General features: G+C 44.4%; 1 protein-coding gene across 41 annotated transcripts in view; it reads right to left on the bottom strand.

Moving 5' to 3' along the window:
• Positions 1-20,615, bottom strand: part of NTM (neurotrimin) — a 966,208-nt gene that overhangs the window by 173,536 nt on the left and 772,057 nt on the right. For 37 of the 41 annotated variants that reach the window (NR_170352.1, NR_170351.1, NR_170346.1 and 34 more), the window contains one exon: positions 16,773-17,005. The exons of the other annotated variants lie outside the window; for them this stretch is intronic. Coding sequence is in view for 19 of the 37 variants with exons in the window: in NM_001352006.2 (NP_001338935.1) it covers positions 16,773-17,005 (233 nt within the window). In the remaining 18 variants the exon portion in view is untranslated. The remainder of the gene's footprint in view (positions 1-16,772; positions 17,006-20,615) is intronic. 41 annotated transcript variants of the gene reach the window in all.

Here is a 20,615-nt window from a genome sequence, read left to right as displayed (position 1 = left end):
TGTGCCCTAGGAAAGGACCCCAGCCTGGAGCAGAAGAGGCCTCTGGGCCTAGAGGAGCCAGAGGAGATCCTCGGGACTCAACCCACAATTCAGTCCTGTTGCTGCTGCACTGTTCCAGGAAATCCCTTTTTCCTGAGATGCTTGCCCGTGGCTGGGCCAGAACAAATGGCAGGCAGGGCCTCTCTGCAGACGCTCCTTCCACTGGGCTCCAGGTGGCTGGTGGAGTGGCCATCACACTTCTAGTAATTGGAACTTTCACAACCGATCCTTCTCTTGGGGTGGACCAGGGGAGAGTTAGGTAAATCATCAGCCCCTTTGAGTAGCTGCTCTTCCCTTTTCCCTCTGTGGTCTTCACATTCACTTGGGCTAAGTGTTACATGTCCATCACGCCTATCACTCATAGACAGATAGAAACCTCCTCCCCCACCAAGCACTCACACATGCTCCACAAACACACACACAAGATCACATACACACTCCCTATACAAACACACACACACACACAGGTCCCACAAACACACACATGTCCCACACAAACACATACACACACTCACACATGCTCCACAAACACACACACACAAGATCACATACACATTCCCTACACAAACACACACACACTCACACAAGCCCCACAAACACACACATGCCCCACACACATACACACACTCACACATGTCCCCCACACATGCCCCACAAACACACACACACACACGATCACATCCACACTCCTCACGCACAGAAGCACTCACATCCACACTCCCCCCACAAACACACACACTCACACATCCACACTCCCCCCATCCACACTTCCCACACAAACATACACAAGCACTCACACACATGCTCTACACAAAAACATACATTAACACATGTCCCACAAATACACACATGACCCACAAACACATACACACACTCACGCAGTCCCCCCCACATGCCCCACAAACACACACACAATCACATCAACACTCCACCCACATACACGCTCTTCACACATACACAAGCACTTACATACACACTCCCTACACAAACATAAACACACTCACATACACACTCCCCATAAACACACAAACACATACACATCTTCCCCCACATACACACTCCCCCCAAAACACAAATACCCTACTATACCCAAGCACATTACAGAAGGGACAAAGTATGCACACTTACACACTCCTCTCACAAACACACACTCCCAGACCCACGCACTTTACATTAGGACGTAACATGTTTGGATCTCAAGAAAGACACCTGAAACCTAGTGTCTTCCTTCCCTGCACTGCGCACGGAGAGAATTTCAACCGGGGTTGGATGTGGGTTCCCTAAGGGAAATGATCTATTACGAGTGAAACTGCAGCTCAATTTCAAGATGTGCTTATTAAGTGAAATGAAAAATAAATAATTAAAAAGGTGCATCTGATTATCTTATCCTCTCTACAACGGCCATGTGGGCTCTGAGTGTTGGAGGCGAAACCCATGGGGACCTTCCGTGGAGAAGCAGCCCAGCAGGAAGGGTCCGGGGATGGCGCAGCTGCGGGAGGAGGGAATCGCAGTCTGGGTGCACAGGGCTGCGCACGGGGAAGAAAGCGGACACTGGGTGAAACAGAGGGATGGCAACTGGCAAGGGGGCGCCAGGGGAAGAGGAGAGGAAGCAAAGAAAGTTGGGGGGAGGAAGACTGTGGGAAATGTGAAATTGGAGGACGCATGAGCCCGGGTGCACAGTGCCCGGAATCGAAGGTCAACATGAAAAACGGGGTTGGCGATGCGTGAGAGAACGGGAGTATCAGATAGAGCGTGCCTAAGAGAGTGAAATAGGACACCATGAAAAAGAACAGGAAAAAAAGGATGAAAAACGGTGACAGGCAGAAGATGACAAAAAGAACATTTTGTGGGGAAAAAAAAAAAAAAAAAAAAAAAAAGCTGCTCGAAAGACCAAATGAGAAACAGCCTCCAAGAGCTAGGTGGAAAATAGCAAAGAAGAGAACTGTCTATGGAAAGGAAGAAGGGTGTCCATCTGCTGATTCTGCCGATCTTCTAAACAGGGTGCTGCACTCACTCCAGTGGGGGAGAATCCATGGACAAATGAAGCCTCACTGGAGGAGCACAAATAGTATGAAACCAGGAGCTCAACTCCTCCTCACCTCCGCTGAGGAGCCCTGGCCAGGCAAGAAGGAAGGGGGGATCCCACAAAGCTGTGAACCATGGAGGTCCTTTGGTCTCTGCATTGCTCCCAGATACCCTCTTGTCAAAACTGAAACCAAGTGAGGAATTCTCCTGAATTGGGTCTGCTCTCCCCTAACTTGGCTCCTTCTGCCCTTAAGAAATATCCCGAAGTCACCGGCAGGGCTTTCCAGGCCCTGGGCCATCTGCCGTGGCTCCCCTCTCGGGTCTCTCCTCTCACCCTCCTCCTTCTCTCACTGCCTGCGGGGGATGCTTTTTCCTTCTCTACAGGGACCCTGCCCTCAGCGGTGCCCCATCCTGCACTTGTCATTTTTTGTCCAGAAGGTTTCACCTTCCTGATGCTACCCAGCTAATCCTCCTCAGCTCTCAGCTGGGCAAAACTTCATGTCCAAAGTCCCTGGGCTTCTTCAGGGGCCTCCCCTGGCTGCTGGCATAGCCCCTGGTATTCAGCCCAGCTCTCTCCCTATGTTAAAAGGAGTTACTGACTTCTCCAGTCACCCGCCCACATATTATTTCTTTGGGGGTAACTAGGGCATTCGTGCTCTACCGTGAGTGTAGCGTGATGCCTGGCTCATAGTAGATGTTCATGGAATATTTGATGGGTGAAGGAAGGAAGAAAAGATGATTGCTATATATGCATCTTTCTTCAACCAGGTCCTGGGCTGAAAGATGAGGCAGGCATTTCATGTGTTGGTAGGAGAGGGGTGAAGGGCCTGCTTCAGCTCCCCTTCCCCACCAGACCGTGAGCTTCATGCAGTGCTGTGGCCAAGGCTGACCCTTGAGGGCACTTCCTGGTGCATTAGCTGTCACCTGTGCTACCAGACCGACTCAATCACAGGAAGCTTTTTTGCACGAAAAATTCATTTGCCATATGAATGCCAGAAAAAGGTAAAAAGAATTTCTTGACTATTCTACTGCCAGTCCCAAATGGGCAGCATGCTGCCCTGTCCAAAGAGGGCAAAGGAATGGCTGCCATGCCTCAGTGAGTATCAGTGAGGGAACAAAGCCAGGTAACTCTTTAGAAAAACAAGGTGGGAGAAGGTGGAAGAAGCCTGCACTGACCCACTTAGGGGAGCAGCTCTTTTTCATGTCTGTTTCCCATTTTTCATTTGAACAACAGTGCAGCAACAAGCTCAGGGAGATGAAAGCCACACCGTAATTAGAAACCCAGAACAGGCCTGCTCACCTATTTGACACAGTTCCTACTAATCAGCATGAACCTCATTTAGGATTTGATGTAAGAAATGTTCCCAATTTGACCTTCAGCTGCCTCGGGCCTTAGCTCGCTGGGCTCCAGCCTGTGATTCCCAGTTCTACCCCCACACCCACGCCTGCACCTAGGCTCTTCAGGTTCGGTGGGTCTGTGGAGTGGTCTCCACTCTTCTTTTTTTTCTGGGAAGTTCCTCCAGAGATTCCAAGGCAGGCAGCAGGAATGAGTGGTCAGACAAACATTCTGTGATAACTCCGGTTTTGGTATCCTCTGAACCTGTTCTCCTTTCTGCTTTCAAATAGCTTCTCCTATTTAAAAAGCTCTCCTGGTTCTTTATCCTGTCTTATCCTATCTTATTTCAAGCTTTACCCTTTGTTCACACAAACTGCATCTCCTGTTGGTGACATGATTTCAGGTCCATAATCCAAAGGCGATATTCCCAGAATTCCAAACAGAAACAAAGTCTGGCACATTTTTTCCCTTATTTGTAAATATATAAACTTGAAACTTTTACAAAGGTGTCAACTTTAAATTCCATTGACTTACTCCCTTAGCAACCACACATGGAGAATAAACGCGTCTCTTAGGAATAGGATCATCCAGGAAAACTGGAACCATGTGGCCACGGGACCCCTTCCACTCTTCCTGTATATGTGCCCTCTGGCCATGGATCGGCTGCTCTAAAGCCCTGTTTGTCCAGCCCCTCAAGGAGAGAGGGGGGTCTCCTGGTCAGGAACACAGGATAATACAATCTCAGCCTTGTTTTCATTCTCTCTCAGTCTCCCTGCTGCAAAACTCCCCTCCAATCCACCCTTCATTCTGATGCCAGAGATCTTTCTGAAATACAACTAATTTAATTTCCCTGTTCAACCCTTCCTATAATTCCCCATCCCCTCCACAGTGAAACCCACACCCTGGGGGTGGCAGAGATCTGGCCCTCTCCTGCTATCCAGGCTGTGGTGCGCCTCTATCATTCCTGTTTTCTTTCCAGGCAGTGACCTGGAGTGACTCATCTTTGGTCTCTCAGAGTCCTTCCTGCTGTGTGATTTGTTCCTTCAATCTGGTTCAATTCTTTACCTTGCTAAGAAAATGCACACTGCAAAACTCAGCTGAATGTCACCTGGTCTGAGACTAGAGGGACCAAAACATTTTGATAGAAGTAACAGAGAAGTTCATGCTCTCACGCCTGACCAAAGAGAGAGCAAACACTGAGAAAATATGATCAAGTCCACTTAACGGTAGGCCTTTGTTTTCATTCATTCATTTATTTGACAAATGCTTACAGAGTGCCTACTATGCACCAGACCCTGTTCTAGGCACTTGGGAAACAACAATGAACATGCCAGATCAAGCCCCACCATCATGGCACACATGTTCTAGAGGGGTTGAAACAGGCTACCACTCTCCAACACGGAAATATCCATTATGCCAATAGGTGAGTTACTTTATAAAGAACAAACAAGGCAAGAAAGGTGCTAGGGTGTGATGATGTGGGGTTGGAAGCTCTATTTTATGCAGGTGGTGAAGAAGGCCTCTGCCTTAAGGTGACCTTGAACAGAGATCTAAGAAGAGAGCCCCAAGGACACCTGGCATGGGCACCAGCAGAGGGAGCTTTAAGGCCTGGAAGCCAGGAGGCCACCTTGGTGTATCACAGGCATATCAGGAAGTAGTGGAGACAGGGTAAGGAAAAGGGAGTGTGTGTGGAGGTGAAGCCAGGGAGACACTGGTGGCCGGACCAAGGAAGACCTTTTAGGCCACAGTAGGGATGTTAAAGACCTTAGGTGAGCCAGGAAGCGACTAAATCAGGAACAACGAAGCCTGCACAGAAATGCTTTCGCTGAGCATGGAGAACAGACGATAGGGAATAAGAACAAAAAAAGCAGGCCAGTTAGGTAGAAAGCTGTGGAACACTCCAGACAAAGGTAACAGCAGCTTGGGAGAGGGCAGAAGAGGCAGGACTGGATAAACCTCCGAATTCAGAAAATCTAGCAGGACGTGCTCAGGATTGAGGAAGAGGACGGGAAAAGGAAAACAGTGAAGACGGACTGCAGCTTTCACATGAGCCACTAGAAGAATGCAATTGCCATTTACCAGATGGCAAGACTCCAGGAGGAGCAGGTTTAGGGTTGGAGTCAGAGGATGGTCAGGAAAGAAGGCTAGAATTCAAGAGATCTATGTTTTACATTTTCAGTTTGAGATGCCTATGAGACACATAGTGGAGAAAAAACACAAATACGAGGTCCCTCTCCCAGTTAACAAGAGAATGTTTAGCGATTTTAATCTTCAACTCTGGTCCCACATTCACAAACCAAATCTCACAGCTTAATGCTAGGCGACATCAATGGTTTCCTCTCATTAAAACCATATTTGGCAGAGGTGTCTTTCCCTCCCTGCTTCCATACCCTAGGGCCCCTGGGACAGAAATTTTCAACATCAAAAAGTATCATCTTAGTTTTGAAATGTGGATGACTCCATCTGCTCCTGTAGATACCCCAAGGACAAAAAGCTGATGCCTCATTGCATTTACATGACAAGGGTGCATCTCCAAAGAGATTTTTTTTAAAAAGAAATAATGAAAAAGATGAGTGTTACTTCATCTCTCACAGTGACAAAGACTAAATTTGGGGCAGATTTCAAATATCAATTTTTGTTTTTCCTATTTCCATCCATTAAGGATTCAAAACATTGAAGGTCAGTGTATTTGTTTCCTTTTTCTATAACACATTTCCATATATTTAGTGGCTTAACAAACAAGAGAAATTGATTCTTTGATGATTCTGGAGGTGAGACGTCCAAAAATGACTCTCACTAGGCTGAAATCAGGGTATCAGGAAGGCTGTGATTCCTCCAGAGGCTCTCAAAAGATATCTGGTCTTTGGTGCTCCCAGCTTCCGCTGGCTATGGGCATTCTTTGGCTTGTGGCCACATCACTGTAACCCTGAGGGTCAGCATCTTCATATCCCTCTGCTCCCGTCTTTACACTGCCTTCTCCTCTGTGTGTGTTCCTATCAAATCTTCCTCTGCCTCCCTTTTGTAAAGATTTATGTGATTGCATTTAGGGCCCAGGACAATTTCCCTATCTCAAATCTTTAAACTAATCTCATCTGTAAAGACTCTACCATGCAAAGTATATTTTTGGGTTCCAGGGATTAGAATCTGATCTTTGTTTGGACATTATTCAGCCTACTACAACTAGTAATGAAAAAAAAATGAATCATTTTGTTTAATAATTATAATACAATAAAAAAGAAACTTTACAGATAGATTATCCAACAAATAGTCCCTGAGCTCTATTAAATTCCAGGCACTGGGGATAGAATGCACAAGCATACGGGCCCCCTGACCTCAGAAAAAATGACATAATCAACCAATCACACAGACAAATGCCACATTTTAACTGTGGCAAAAAGCAGGAAGAAGGGCAAGGCTCTAGCTCCTGGCAGAGGTGGGAGTGGCAGTGGTTAGCAGGTCTGGGAAAGTTCTCTATGGAAATGGCATTTGAGTCAAAGTCTGAAGGATAAATAGGACCGACTGGGTGAAAAGCAAAAGAGAATTCCAGGAAGAGGGAAGGGAACGTTCAAAGGGCCTATGACCAGAAATAACAAGAAAAAATACACTAGAATGAAAATAGTGAGGCAGGACATGGCATGAACCAGGAGCAGAGGTCCCCTGGAGCCTGGCCTCCAGGACTATCAACTCCTTCATAAGGAATTGGCTCTCTTGGGCTAAAGAGAAGTCTTTGAGGAACCTCCAGATTTGGTTTGAAAAGATCACTCAGGCTACAAGTGCAGAAATGAGGGGTGAGGGGTGCAAAGTGGGTGTGGCAGAATCGCTATTTTCATTCTAACAGTCGGGAGCTGAAACGCCACATTACTCAATTTCAAAAGACTTTATTATTTTCTTGGCCTTCTGCAACAGCAAAGCCTGGCTCCCAAGCTTGCAGCCATCGCTCTCAGCCCAGGGACTCTCCAGTGGCTGTGAGAGCTGCTGCCCTTACACACCCTACCTGCACCCCACTCCTTTGCACATCCCCATTGTAGGGACCCATCTCATCCATCTTTGTATCCATTCCAACCTCAATTTCAGGACTTGACACATGATGGTTTATGTGTGAAAGGGAAAATAATCAAAATTTCTCATCTTTCTTTCTCAGAGTAGGAAGAAATGGCTTGGCCAGCCTAGCCCTCAGAATGAGGAACAGTGTTAGCACACAGGTCCCCTCTGTGAAATCCAGGTTTTAGGACGATAAGAACACCATAAAACATGCCCAAACAAAACTGTGAGAACACAGGAGATGGTGGCAAGAGAGCTGAGGAAGAGCACCAGGTCAGAAGGCCAGAAAGCCAGGAGCAATAGAGCTCCGCGGAGGCGGCTGAGGCTGGAGAAACGGGATGCGACCCAGACCGGTTTCTGGGAACAGGGACCCACATCAGCGGCAGGACATGTGTGCATTCCCCATCTAGAGGATTGCATCCATAGAAAGAAGACAGAAAAAGACAAATGGATGTAAGCACCTGGAAGTCTTTAGGGCTGTTGGATGATCACAACAATGAGGGGTGCTCTTCTGCTTCCCTGCACCTACTTGACACCCTTCTCCAAATCGAATTATGGGACACAAAAACACTTCTATAAAAGGTATCTAATTGGGAATATCTAATCTGGAATAACTAAAACAAGGAGATCATTTTTCCAGGTAATTATCAAAATTCAGACTGTAACCCAAAACTCTTAAATCCTGAAATTTACTTCTTTCTACTAAGCTATTAAATCCCCAACGGAGCCAACACCGGGTTCATTGTGCAGACTCCCAATTAATCACAGTAGAAAGCACTACTTGCCAAGTGAAAATCCTCTATTTTGAATTCTTAATCCCCCCACCAGCTGAGTTTACCACAAAGACATGAATATATAATTGAGACATAAAGAAAACATGCCACCAAATTAAACTGCCCTGATTTTGCATCAATAAATTCTTTCTCAAATAACATGAAATGAAGAAAGTGTGGTGCTCCAAAAACTCCAGGAGTGAATTCCTCTGCTGAGCCAAGCTCTAGCGGAAGCCAATTAGATTTCATACCAATGTTAGACAATTATTTACTGCAGGCGACATTCAACAGGAACATGTCTTAACATACACTCCAAGTGGTGACACCTCAAAGCCTAAATTAGCCTGGAGATATCAGAAACAGGAAGTCTTCTCATTTGTATGAGGACTCTCAGGTAGGAGGCTGCTGAGGACCTGAGGGCTGGGGACTGCTTCTTGCAGCTGTCATTCATCCTCGGCAGCATCCTCACCCTCTCTGCCATGATCATCACCATGACAGCACAAAACCCAGTACCACACCCTCTATTTGCTAAGACACAAAGAGATGCACCTTACTATACTATGGAAGAAGAATCATTATTACAAATTCAAATGTAAGACATACATTGGAGAGATTTTGAAAATTGACGTATTGGTAGAAAAGTCTTTGGCAATCTTTCCCCTTTGTGTCTTAACCATGCAAGAAGCATAGAACCAGTTGGGATTGGATGTATTCTTTCCTTCCAATATATCTCCTTTCTACCCAAGATTTATTGACTTAGGTGTTTGTCATGTTCTTTTCCACTGATAATCTTTTGAGTATTTGTCCATTGTCAAAACAATCTAATGTGCACTTCCTTGTGAAAGAAAGTAGCATTCTAGCAGGACAACCAGAAAAAAATAAGCCTATTGGAAGCCTATCTGGTTCCACCTGAAACTGAGATGCAGCCTACCTTTCTAGCCATATATTGAGTGATTTCACCCCAGGAACTCTGCCCTGTGACCATATTAGCGTCCTCACTCTTCGTCCAACACAACATACACGTTCAGCCTTCCAAGCTTTGCACACATGATTGATCCTGTTTGGGATGCCATTTCCTCTCAGATCCCCTAAAAAACTCTACTGCCCATTGAAGACCCTCATGAAATATAACTTTGTAGTTTTGTCTAATCTTGCAGGTAAATTCAATTACTCCATTTCAATGTATTCATAGCATTTATACCCTCAAACATCCTAATCCCTGTTACCTTATAAGACAGATATTTGTTAGTATAGTGGTCTCCTCTGCTGGACAGGGCAGGAGCTCTGTCTGAATCTTTGTGTCCCCAGGACCTGGCTTCAAAATACTGTTAAATGGAATTCAACAGGGTCAGTAGAGTGTCTTCGATCTGACAACAGATGGACGGAAACCTTTCTCATCAACTACTCCCTATGTCCTAAGAAGCTACGCATTTTAATTTTATTAAGAAGAGAGGAACAACCAGAATCTTTGGGTCTTTTGAGTGTCTAAGAATCTTCTCCTAACAGTGATGGCATCCAAGTCAGCTGCTCTTGATATTGCTGTATCACACACTCTGTATGGGTGACCTTCTGAAACCATTAGGAATACGGTAATGAGGAAAATTTTGGATATATTATAGGATTAGACAGATCTGTAGTGTTGGGTCATGAGACCATAAAGAGACCTCATCCAACCCTTAATTAAGAAGATTTTCTTCAAGTGCAGCTTGAATAAATCAGCACTCTCATATGGGAATGGGAGTCTAAAGGCATACATCTTGAAAAAGCTGATTATTCAGGATCTGGTGTTTGTCCTTTCCCCAAAATAAATGACATTTCTCACTTGGAAGCTGCAGAAAGAATCAAGATCCAGAAGGAATCAGAGCCATGTTTCTCAATCCTATGGTGTTAGACTCTGAGGCCGCTCAGAAGCAGCCAAGACTCCCTGTGGAAAAGCACCTAAGGGGTAAGAACTCAGTGGCTGCTTACAGACTTTCCCATGGGAGCCCTAACTGCTTACCTGGAGAGATGTTGCCTGACTTCTGTAAGTGCTTGCTGTAAAGCCATAAGGGTCATCTAAACTTTCTGCTCCATTCTCTATGAGTGGGTGTGAAAGGCTAGAACAGGGGACCCTATTTTTATCCACTCTTCTGCAAAAGACGCCAAGTTTTCCAAACTCTGTAGAGAACATGAGGACCCCTTCCCAGCCATACCAAAAGGAAAAGAAAATGCCATTATTCAATGAATATAACTTTTCCTCTGGCATTTTTCTGAGATTACTTTAGTCTTTACATTTTGCCCTACTTGGCTTAGCAGACAGACGATACCTCAGGTGAGTTTACTGAAATGTGCTCTAGCCTTTCTGTCAATTTTTGTCCCTCCGTTGTCAGCAACTGCTTCAAGAAATTTTAAAACTCACCAGGTAGAACAGAGTTGCCTCATCTGCATGCTGTCTAGATAGTGTACATCAATTGCAGGTAAAATGCCCTACTTCCTTGTCATTCTCCGGGGTGCTTTGAGGAGAGCTCCAATTTTATAGTGGAATTTAATTTCCTGACTTTTTCAAAGTTCTATCAAATTTAGACACACAGTCTTATGACCAGACCAAATATACATTTTCATCTATTTCTTGAATGGGACAGGAAAAAGAGAGGTCATTGGAAAGCAGTTTGGGATGATCAGTATGCCCCCACTATCTGTCACACAGGGCTACTGACATCTAGAGAACACAGATGTTCTCAGAAGGTGACTTCAGTCTATTTCGAATTGGATCATGATGTTTTCCTCTACCATTGACTCGCTTGAATGGGAAGTGTTGGTGCAAAGATCTGCAGAGCTCTCCGGGAGCCTTGTCCTGCCAGAAGGGCATGGTGCTTTCTGGGTGACATGTCTGGAGAGGCAGAAAGCTTTGCTTTCAAAGTAAGGATTAGGTCACATTATTTCCTTTGATATTTTGTGTTTCAAATTACCTTCAGTTCAGATTCAGAGTGGGGAGGGGTCTCTAGGGTGTAGCTACCTAGAAATTAAAAGTTATTGTTCCTGTTCTCTGAATCATAATAATGAGCTTTTGCTTGACAAGGTCAACTAATTATTCAGGATTGGAAAGAAACACGGTTGTATATATCAAGTGGGTAAGAGAGAGAGTCAGAAATAGGGAGACAATCAAAGGTAAATTAGGGGCTGATGTGGCCATACTTCCATTATTTGCAAGTCACTGCCTGGGCTGGGTGTCTCCCTAGTCTAGTCCCTTTCTCTCTGGAATTACTTTAACACACGAAGTGAACAGAATGTCCTGGCTTCTTTCCCTCATTCCTGCCCTATTCCATAGACATTTGTGTTTCCCTTCTTTACCTGAGCTTCGGAGCTGTTTGACTCCAAAGGCAGGTAATTAACTATCAAACAATAGCAGGGATTTTCAGATTAATTCTGCCCAGCAAGAAATAGGAAAACTCATTTTACCAAACAAAAGGGAGGGGATGATTAGATACTCCAGTGACAAAAGAGAAACCTAGCTAGGGCCTGGAAAACTGACAAAGAGGCTAAAAGCTTTTTTAACATTTTTTATTACACTAATATCCCTGTTTTTATAAGCACTGTATTCTACTGTTCTCTGTCATACAAATGTGTCTCTAAGTGAGAGTGAATTCCTGCAGGTACACCAGTCAAAATGGAGAAGTCAGTTTTCCATACTTGGATAAGGAGGACCTTTCTTAACACTCTGCACACAACCATGGCACACTTTTGCTCTACCACCATTCATGGGTTCTTAGAAACACAGACGGGGCCTTTTAGACGTCTTCTCAAGCTGTCCTTAACTTGCCAAACAATTCATTCCCACTGAATGTTTTATCCACTCTGTTTTCCAAGATGTAACCTTGTCCAAAGGAACAATGGAGACAGTAGTATGGCTTTTTCAGATGTACAATATGCTCGGTTTGGTAGCAGGATTAAGAGGGTGAAAGGAATAAAATATTCTGCTAGACTCCAGAGAGAACCACTTATTAATTATGTTTATTAGGCAAAAAACCCTAAGGTCAAAGAGATGGAAATCATTAGACCTAAATGTTAATAAATTTTAGATGAATCTCCCCTATTCTGGACAAAAAGATTATGTTCAGGACATGCAAATCCACGGGTGGTATTTCTTACATTTCACATTTGAAGGAAGTATTCAAGGCATCTCAAAGTCAAGAAATCCAGGTATCTGAACTCATTCCCCTCTGCTGATGAATCAGTTTTGCCATGTGATCTTTAGACATGTTAGTATTCATGTCCCCTGAGCTCACAGGTAGAAATCTCAGTGTCCTGGTGGAGTCATCACCCCCATGCTCACACTTAACCAACCCTCGAACTCTGCCTACTCTCCTGCAGGTACATCCTTGGACTCCAGACTCTTCTCTGTCTAAGCTAACCTAGGAACTCCATTACTCCATCTTTTTAAACAATTGAAGCTAACCTAGGAAATCCATTACTCCATCTTTTTCAACAATTCTCTCTTGTTTTTAAAAGAGCACCATCTATTTAAAATTTCCATTCTCTTTCCAAAATTCCACTCTCCTTTCCACAATATACCTAGCCCTTCAAGCCATGGAAAGCCATTCTAGCTTTAACACCTGCTGATCCATAATGGTAACCCCTTATAGCACTATCCAATAAAGCTTTTTACAATGGAAGTTCACACAAATGTTCTCTCTCTGCACTGTCCAACACAGGAGTGCAGTAGTTTGGGTATTTGTTCCCGTAGATCTTATGTGGAAAGTTGATTCCAAAATTGGAGGTGGGGGCCTAATGGGAGATGTCTGGCCATGGGGATGGAGCATAAATAGATAAATGCAGGGGGTGGGGCAAGTGAGTTCTTGCTCTATTAGCTTTCTCGAAAGCTGGTGGTAAAAAAGAGCCTGGCACCGTCCCTGCTGTCTCTGGCTTTTTCTCTCACCATGCAATTCTGCATATACTGGGTCCCCTTCACGCCATGCCACGAATAGAAGCATTCTGAGGCCCTCTCCAGATGCAAATGTTGGTGCTGTGCTTGTACAGGCTGCAGAACCATGAGCCAAATAAACCTCTTTTTTATGTGTGTGAATTACCAGCCTCAGGCATTCCTTTATAGTAATGCAAAATGAACACAAGGGAACAGTAGTCTTGCATGACTATGGAAGCACTGCAGTGTGGCTAGTGTGACTGAAGAAGTAAATTTTAAATGTTGTTTGGTTGTAGCTAATTTAAATTTAATTTAAAATAGCCACCCTGGCAAGTAGCTACTTGGCTCAGTTCTCTTGTCTCCTCCTTTCTGCCGCCTTCCCCCTCCATCTCCCTCCCACACTGGCTCCAGGGTCACCCTCCTCCCCCAGGATGCCCTTTGCTCCTAGCTTGCCCCAGAGACTTGCTCCATGTGGTCGCCTTGGCCTCACGGCTGTCTGCAAGAAATAACCATATTGGATCAGAACCACAGGGGAAGAAAATCCAGTACAGAGAACTAGGGGGTAGATGGGATATTTGACAGTAAGGGGAAAGACATACCCCAGACCTGAAGCAGCTTGTGCAATGCTGTGAGATGCCACTACCTTCCTTCTGTGTGGATTTATTTAGATATGAAGGTGACTACATATACATAAATACACATACTCATGGGCAGAATATCAATTTAGTTCCTTTTTGTTGTTGCTGTTTTTATTTCTTTTTTTAAAGGATCATAATACCATTTTGAAAACCTAATATGCCCAACTTTTATTCCAGAAGCTCAGGGCTGAATAGCAACTTCAAATCCAGAGAGTCAGCTTCTGCTAGGGGAATTAGGGTTTATGTTTGGTATAATAAACGATCCCAAGATAAATATATTTCTTTCCCTTTTTTTTTTTTTTTGTAATCCAGGATGGTGGTGCATCCTCTTTCCAATACAGAAACACAAGAATCTGGCTCTATTTAGTTTGTCTGATCGCTTTGAAGAGGGGGTCAGTTTGGCTCTGAAAAAACTATGGTCCTCTATTCATTAAAGTGTCGATAATACTCAGTCCAGGCATATCGACAGCGGATTAGCTTGGGCTGAGTCTGTGTAAAAGACCAATGCCTTTTTTAACCCAGCTTGTTTCCAGATCAATACACCCATCAGCATTCGAAAATTAGCCCAAGATGAGATTCCAATACTTGAGGTGGTGTGTCATGCGAGAGGGCACCTAGCTAAGTCACAGATGTAAACACCTAGCAAGGGATTAGACATTTTCCATTAGCTTGGATGTGAGTGAAGATTGATGTAGACTCCATCCTCTCACCCCCTCCCATCATCTCACCCCCAAAAACACCCAGCCGTCTCTCTTGGAGCCCATATAAGATCACCTGGCTCTAATTCTAGCCATTTGCTTCAATAAGCATTTATTAAATGTTCACTTTGTATCAGGCATTCTGCGAGGTGTTCAGGGCAGGGGTGTGGGGGTGTGTGTGAGTGGGGGTGGCTGAAGAAAGAAAATGACAAAAATATGATCCAGTTTTCAAGGAGACATTAGCACTTTTCACAATTCCTTCCACTTTCCAGTTCCATGAGGCCCTGCTTCCTAAAGCAAATATCTCTAATAGTTCCTAGTTCCCAGTCTCTCATTGTCAATGCTAGGCATTCTTTTCTCAACACTAAGTGTGCAGGGGTTGGGGCAGGACAGGAGGGGGGCTGAGCAATAGCTTCCAAACCACCACCTGGTAGAGTATGCAGATGGTGGCACCAGGGCATTCACCAGCCCTGCCCACAGAGTGGAGATTCTCAAGCATTTTTGGCCTCCCTATCCATAATAAAAAATGTATTTTACATTAAAAAATGTACACAAACTGAAACAAAAATCTCACATGGCAATACCTACTCCACTCTTTGTAATACACTCTGATACCTTCTATGCAATTCTATTTTCTTTAAAATTGCTGTTTGCATGCATCAGTTCAAAAAGTATTCATTTATAGAATCATTTTTTAAACAGCCATTGTAATTTCCTTTGGGGAAGAAAGAGTAAGCAAAATATAATAAAAACTTGGCATGACCAAACTTGGGCCACAGCATCAAGGATTCCCATGTCCCCTGGCATACGTTCTGCCCACAGCCAGGTCCAGCATCACCTTGTTCTCATGTGTCCTCCTCTCAGTCCTGCTCACCCTGCCTCACTCAACAGTGCTGATCACGACCCAAGTTCCGCCTTCCCCTACTGTCAAACAGCAGGCCTCCCCTTCCTTCTTCCGGCTCACTTCAGTTCTTCCTTCTCAAGCTGCCTTCCTTCCTATTCTGTCTCTAACCAATCATCCCATAGTTCTTTACCCTTTTCTTGAACACACCGACAAGGGGACTGGTGGAAGGAGCCCCTAGGAGAGGAGTTTGTCACCCTGGAGCTACACGTCCCTGGTTGAAAGGGCCTCGGGATCAGCCTGGGAAAGGGCTCCAGCACTGGATCTGGCATGCCGCTGCTCAGGGGCTATACTGCTGACATCACAAAATAAGATATTTGACCCACTGTAAAAGATGCTCAAAAATTTTAAAAATTACAAAAGTCCTAAAAAAGAGAAAAGAAAGCTCCATAGCTAACACTGAAATAGCACTTGTATGTGCCACGCCCTCTTCTACGTGTTTTCTATGTCAGTACGTTTACAGTTCAATCCTCACGTTGACCCCCTTTACAGAAAGAGAACCCTGAGACACGGTAATAACTTGATTAAGGTCTCACAGCCAGAAAGTGGCCAAGTGTGATGCCAGCTCTTGCTCACTAACTAGGAATCCTTCAACCGGGTTAAGTGTTGTCTGAATGCCCCAGGACTGGTTCTGCCTTGTGGGAAGAGGTGAGCTCCATTCCCAGGGTCTAAGAGAGCATAACCAACACACATATTCTCTCTCTCTCTCTCTCTCTCTCTCACACACACACACACACACACACACACACACACACACACAAACATACAAGGCCTCATGAACTAGGAGTCAGGGGAGGAGAAGAAGGCCAGGAGAGTTGGGATGGAATCAAAACAGGGAGAATCAGACACCAGTATTATATGGGAGAAATGGCATCCAAAACCCCTGGCTGGGAGAGGAGAGGAGGCGCAAGTGAGCTGGAAACAAGCAGGTGCTTGTGAAGGATGCAGCTGAGGGCAGTGCCCAGTGCATCCTGGTTGGCTCTGCTTTCGTTCAAGGCTGGAGGGGGACATGGCATACCTGTACTTCCAAAAGTGCATTAAAAGTCTGGTTTTAAACATAACACAGTCTTGGAATTGGATGAAATCTAAAAAACAAAACAAAACAAAACAAAAAACAAACAAACAAAAATAACTAAAACTTAGGGGAGAAAAAAGCCAAGAAGAGCAATAATTACAAGATAATTTCCTGAGAAAATATATTATTGGAACAAAAATGAAAAAAACAATTCCTAGTTCCACTCAATGAAAATGACTGGAAAATTTAGCTTCTAACTGCAAAATGACAACCAGAAATGTGCCCTGGACCCCAGATGCGTAGAATAAGGATAACTCATCTCTGTTGAGGATCAGAGAACAAACCTTTACCTGAAGGCTTTCCAGGCTGGCCAGCCAGATCTCCCCGCCAAGCCCCGCCCACCTACCTTGCACAATGAGGTGGACCCTAGAGGTCTTTGGGTGGTTGTCTGTCTGCACCGAGCAGGTGTAAGGGCCCTCGTCATACACATCCACGTTCTGGATCTCGATGCTGTACTGCGTTTGGGTGTTGCTCAGAAGGACCACGCGAGGATCCAGGCACCACTTGTCATTCCCAGCATAGAGGATGGTGCTGCGGTTTAGCCAGGCCACCCGGGTGACCCGGTTGTCAATAGTGCACCTGAAGGGAAGACCAGACAGGTACGTCAAGGGACTGAGAGACGACAGCAGCCATCAGAGGGAGGTCCTCATGGCAAGGCTAGAATATCTTGTCTTTCTCCCTTCCCCCAACACATACATTTCCTTTGATTTGTCAGGGGTGGACTTTTCTGGAACACAGCAAAGGTCTTATGGGATTACAGCCTCAGAATGTTGCTCGGAGCTTCTCAAACCACTTGAGCACAGAACCACTTCAAATACGATCTCAGTTATAACCTAGAGGTACCTTGCATGCCCAGGATGGCTGGATACTTCGAATACTACCAGTTCTCCCTTTGCTCAAGGATTTGGGTGATGATAATCCTTCATAGTTATGTCTAGCTGTTTAGGGTGCACTAAGTCATTCAATACTTATAATAACCCTATGAAGAATCTTTTATTGGAAAAAGCCTAGAAGAGCAGAGAAACTAAACTAAACTAGTTCTCCAAGTCACACAATAATTATGTGTTAGATCAGAGACCCAGCTTTTAACTACTAAACATCATTCCTCTCATCTCAGAATAGCAAATTCCCACAGAAGGCTTCTGCAGTCAAAACTAAATACAGACCACCACTATTGCTATTCATCTTCATTATACCCAGGGGCAGAAATGTTCGGTTAACTGCTAGACTAAAGCCACTTTCCAAAATCTCAAAACTGTCTGCACATATAAAAATAGATTTTCTTTCTTTTATTTTTGCATCTGGAGTCCTTGAATTGTGGAATCTCCCTTCTCTTTTCTACACTTTTAAATTTCCCAGCAACTCTCGCCAAGTCCTCATCATGTCTTTCTGTCTGTATTCATTTCCCTCTCTTACTACAGCAAGTCTGTTCCATGGCCTTAGGCTAAATTTACAAGCAGTGTCCTGATCCTGACTATAATGCTGGAAATAACAATGTAGCATAGGATGTATAATGATGTCTCAAATGTATACATTATTTTGCAGTGTACAAAGCACTTTTACAGCTCAATGTCTCCTTTGATGTTTTGCAACAAATTTATGAGGTTGACACTCTTACCCATTCTCTGCTTTAAAGATCAGGACACTAGGGTTCTGAATAGCCTGATGACTTGTCCAAGGAATGAGAGCTAGAAGTATAGAAGTCAGACCTCTCAGTCAAGTCTTCTAATTCCTGGTACTATGTGAGACTCATAATGTGCAAAGGTGAATTTTTCATTGAGGATGGGTGATGGCTTCTATTGGATTCTCAAAATGGTTTGTGACCATAAAAATTCTAACAAGTGCTACTATACACACCTGCTTCTTCAGGAGACCCCCTGTCCCCATGAGACATCCTGTACTGTGCATCCTTTCTGCTTTGCTTATGTAAATGTCTCAACATTATGTAAGGATCACTTAGGTGCACAGGGATAGTTTGCTGAGAGTTCTTGTGGGAAATACTGCCCAAAAAGAAACACCTTGGCACAGGTGTCCAACAAGTTTTTTGCAGCTCATTGCATTTTCTGGCAATGCAGATGAGAGGTGGGCTCTCTCTGGCACCATCCTGATACAGCATGGAAATGAGTGAAGGCCTAGCTTGGAGAAGATCTGGGGACTACCTTTCAAAGTGCTCATGGACTACTTATATTAGAATCACAGGAGAGGTTTATTACAGATTCTTAGTCTCACCCCCAGTCTACTGATTCAGAATATTTGGGAATTTATAACAACATCTCAGTTGGGTCATACACACACTAATGTTTCAAAACCACTAATATGGAGCAGTGTGTCTAGGACAACTTATATCATTTATGGGGCCCAGTGCAAAATAAGAACACAGAATATTTTGCTCAAGCATGAATAAGGATTTCAAGGTGGTGAGAACACAGCCTTAAACCAACCACAGATTTCTATGGAAATAAACAAAGTTGTGAAGCCAGCTCCACATGTTTCTCAAGCTTTACGGTGCACATGAGCCCCCTGGGGATTTCGCTGAAGTACAGATGCTGATTCAGTAGGTCTGAGGTAGGGCCTTGGATTCTGCATTTTTAGCAAGCTCCCAGGTAATGCCAAAGCTGATGGCCCCTGGTCATTCCTTGAGTCACATCTAGAAGTTCATATCTAGACATGAGTTTTGTGCACATTAGGGTTTAAGAAGCACTGAGCTAGCACCACACTACACAAAAGTGTGGCTGGCAAACCACCAACATCAGCATCACTTGGGTGGGAGCTCATCAGAAATGCAGAAACTCAGGTCTCCTCTCAGAGATAAGAAATTTGAATCTGCATTTTAATAAGATGTCCAGGTAACCTGAATGCACATGAAGTTTGAACTGATCCAAGCCTTTCTTGTGGCTTTGATGACAATATCCAGAATGGACTCTGAGGGTGAGCAAGAAGGAGAAAACTACAGTCGATAGAGGGTGCACCTCTCTTACTACACCTAAGGGTGTACCTTCCCTTATGCTCCTTGCAGACCCCATGACTGCCATCTGGTACTGCCTTGTCTGAAACATGAATTTGGAACGACATAAGTTTGAAATCTCTCAAGAACAAAAACACACTTTGCAGCTTGCTTTGCTAGTAATGTATCTAGGATAGCTTATATTAATAATCTGAAGGGTGGCCACTGCTCTGACCTTCACTTGGGTCCAAGCAGGGACTGGATGAATTCACATTCATGGTCAATGTTAATTGACTACATGAGCCCACTATGTGTACTATTTTATCATCTCACAAACTTGGTTGGGTTCACTTATTGCCAATTTACAGACAAAATTAGCTGAGGCTAAAAAACATTAGCCATATTGACTGAAACCATGCTGATATTAAACTGTAGAAGCAGGATTCATGCCAGTTTTTGTTTTGTTTTCCAAATTTAGTGTTCTTATAGGTGCTCCCAAAAGAACATCTAAATCAGTTCTTCTCAAATTCACTGTGCATCAGAATCACCTGAAAGACCTGATAAAAAAGAGATTCCTGGGACCTTACTCCATGGGTTTCTGATTCAGTAGGCCCAGGCAGGGCCTGGGAGGCTGCATTTCTGACAAAATTCCAAATGCTGCTGATGCTGGTCTGGAGAGCTCCCTGAGAACCTCTAACCTAGACGTGTGTTTCCTGGCAAAAATGAGAGTTGCAGAGTGAATAGGCACTAGGAAAGGACCCTGGTATGAAACAGTTTTCTGATACGTTACAGGAGAGAACTTTCCTGTAACCCATATGTTCAGGGAAACCAGAAGCAGAGTCCTTTATTTTCTTCCCCAGCAGCTGAAATCTGACAAGTACCAGGTGAGTGGCCATGGTGCAGGAAACGCTGACTGACAAACACTAAACTGCTTGAATAATTATTTTTGATGCCCACAACGAGGGCATCTCACAACCTCCCGATGAACACGAGAGGACTGTCCTGGGCTTCCTTGTGAGCATCTAATTATTGAAAATTGACAGAAACGGAAGCCGTCCCCCAACACTGCACCGCACTACAGGGCCAGAGAGGTTCGTCTGCAGATGCACTAGCACTCAGAACGCAGCCAATTTCCAGCATGGTTCTGCGGCTCCTGTGATGTACTACTCTGAGGAGTTGGCACAGTTCCAGCTGCGGTTCTGAACACATCCAAGGTCATGTTTAGATGTCCAAACTGTCACTGCT

Source organism: Homo sapiens, chromosome 11 (assembly GCF_000001405.40).
Source record: "Homo sapiens chromosome 11, GRCh38.p14 Primary Assembly".
In the NCBI taxonomy this organism is placed as follows: domain Eukaryota; kingdom Metazoa; phylum Chordata; class Mammalia; order Primates; family Hominidae; genus Homo; species Homo sapiens.
This window is presented reverse-complemented; position numbering and strand designations above follow the sequence as displayed.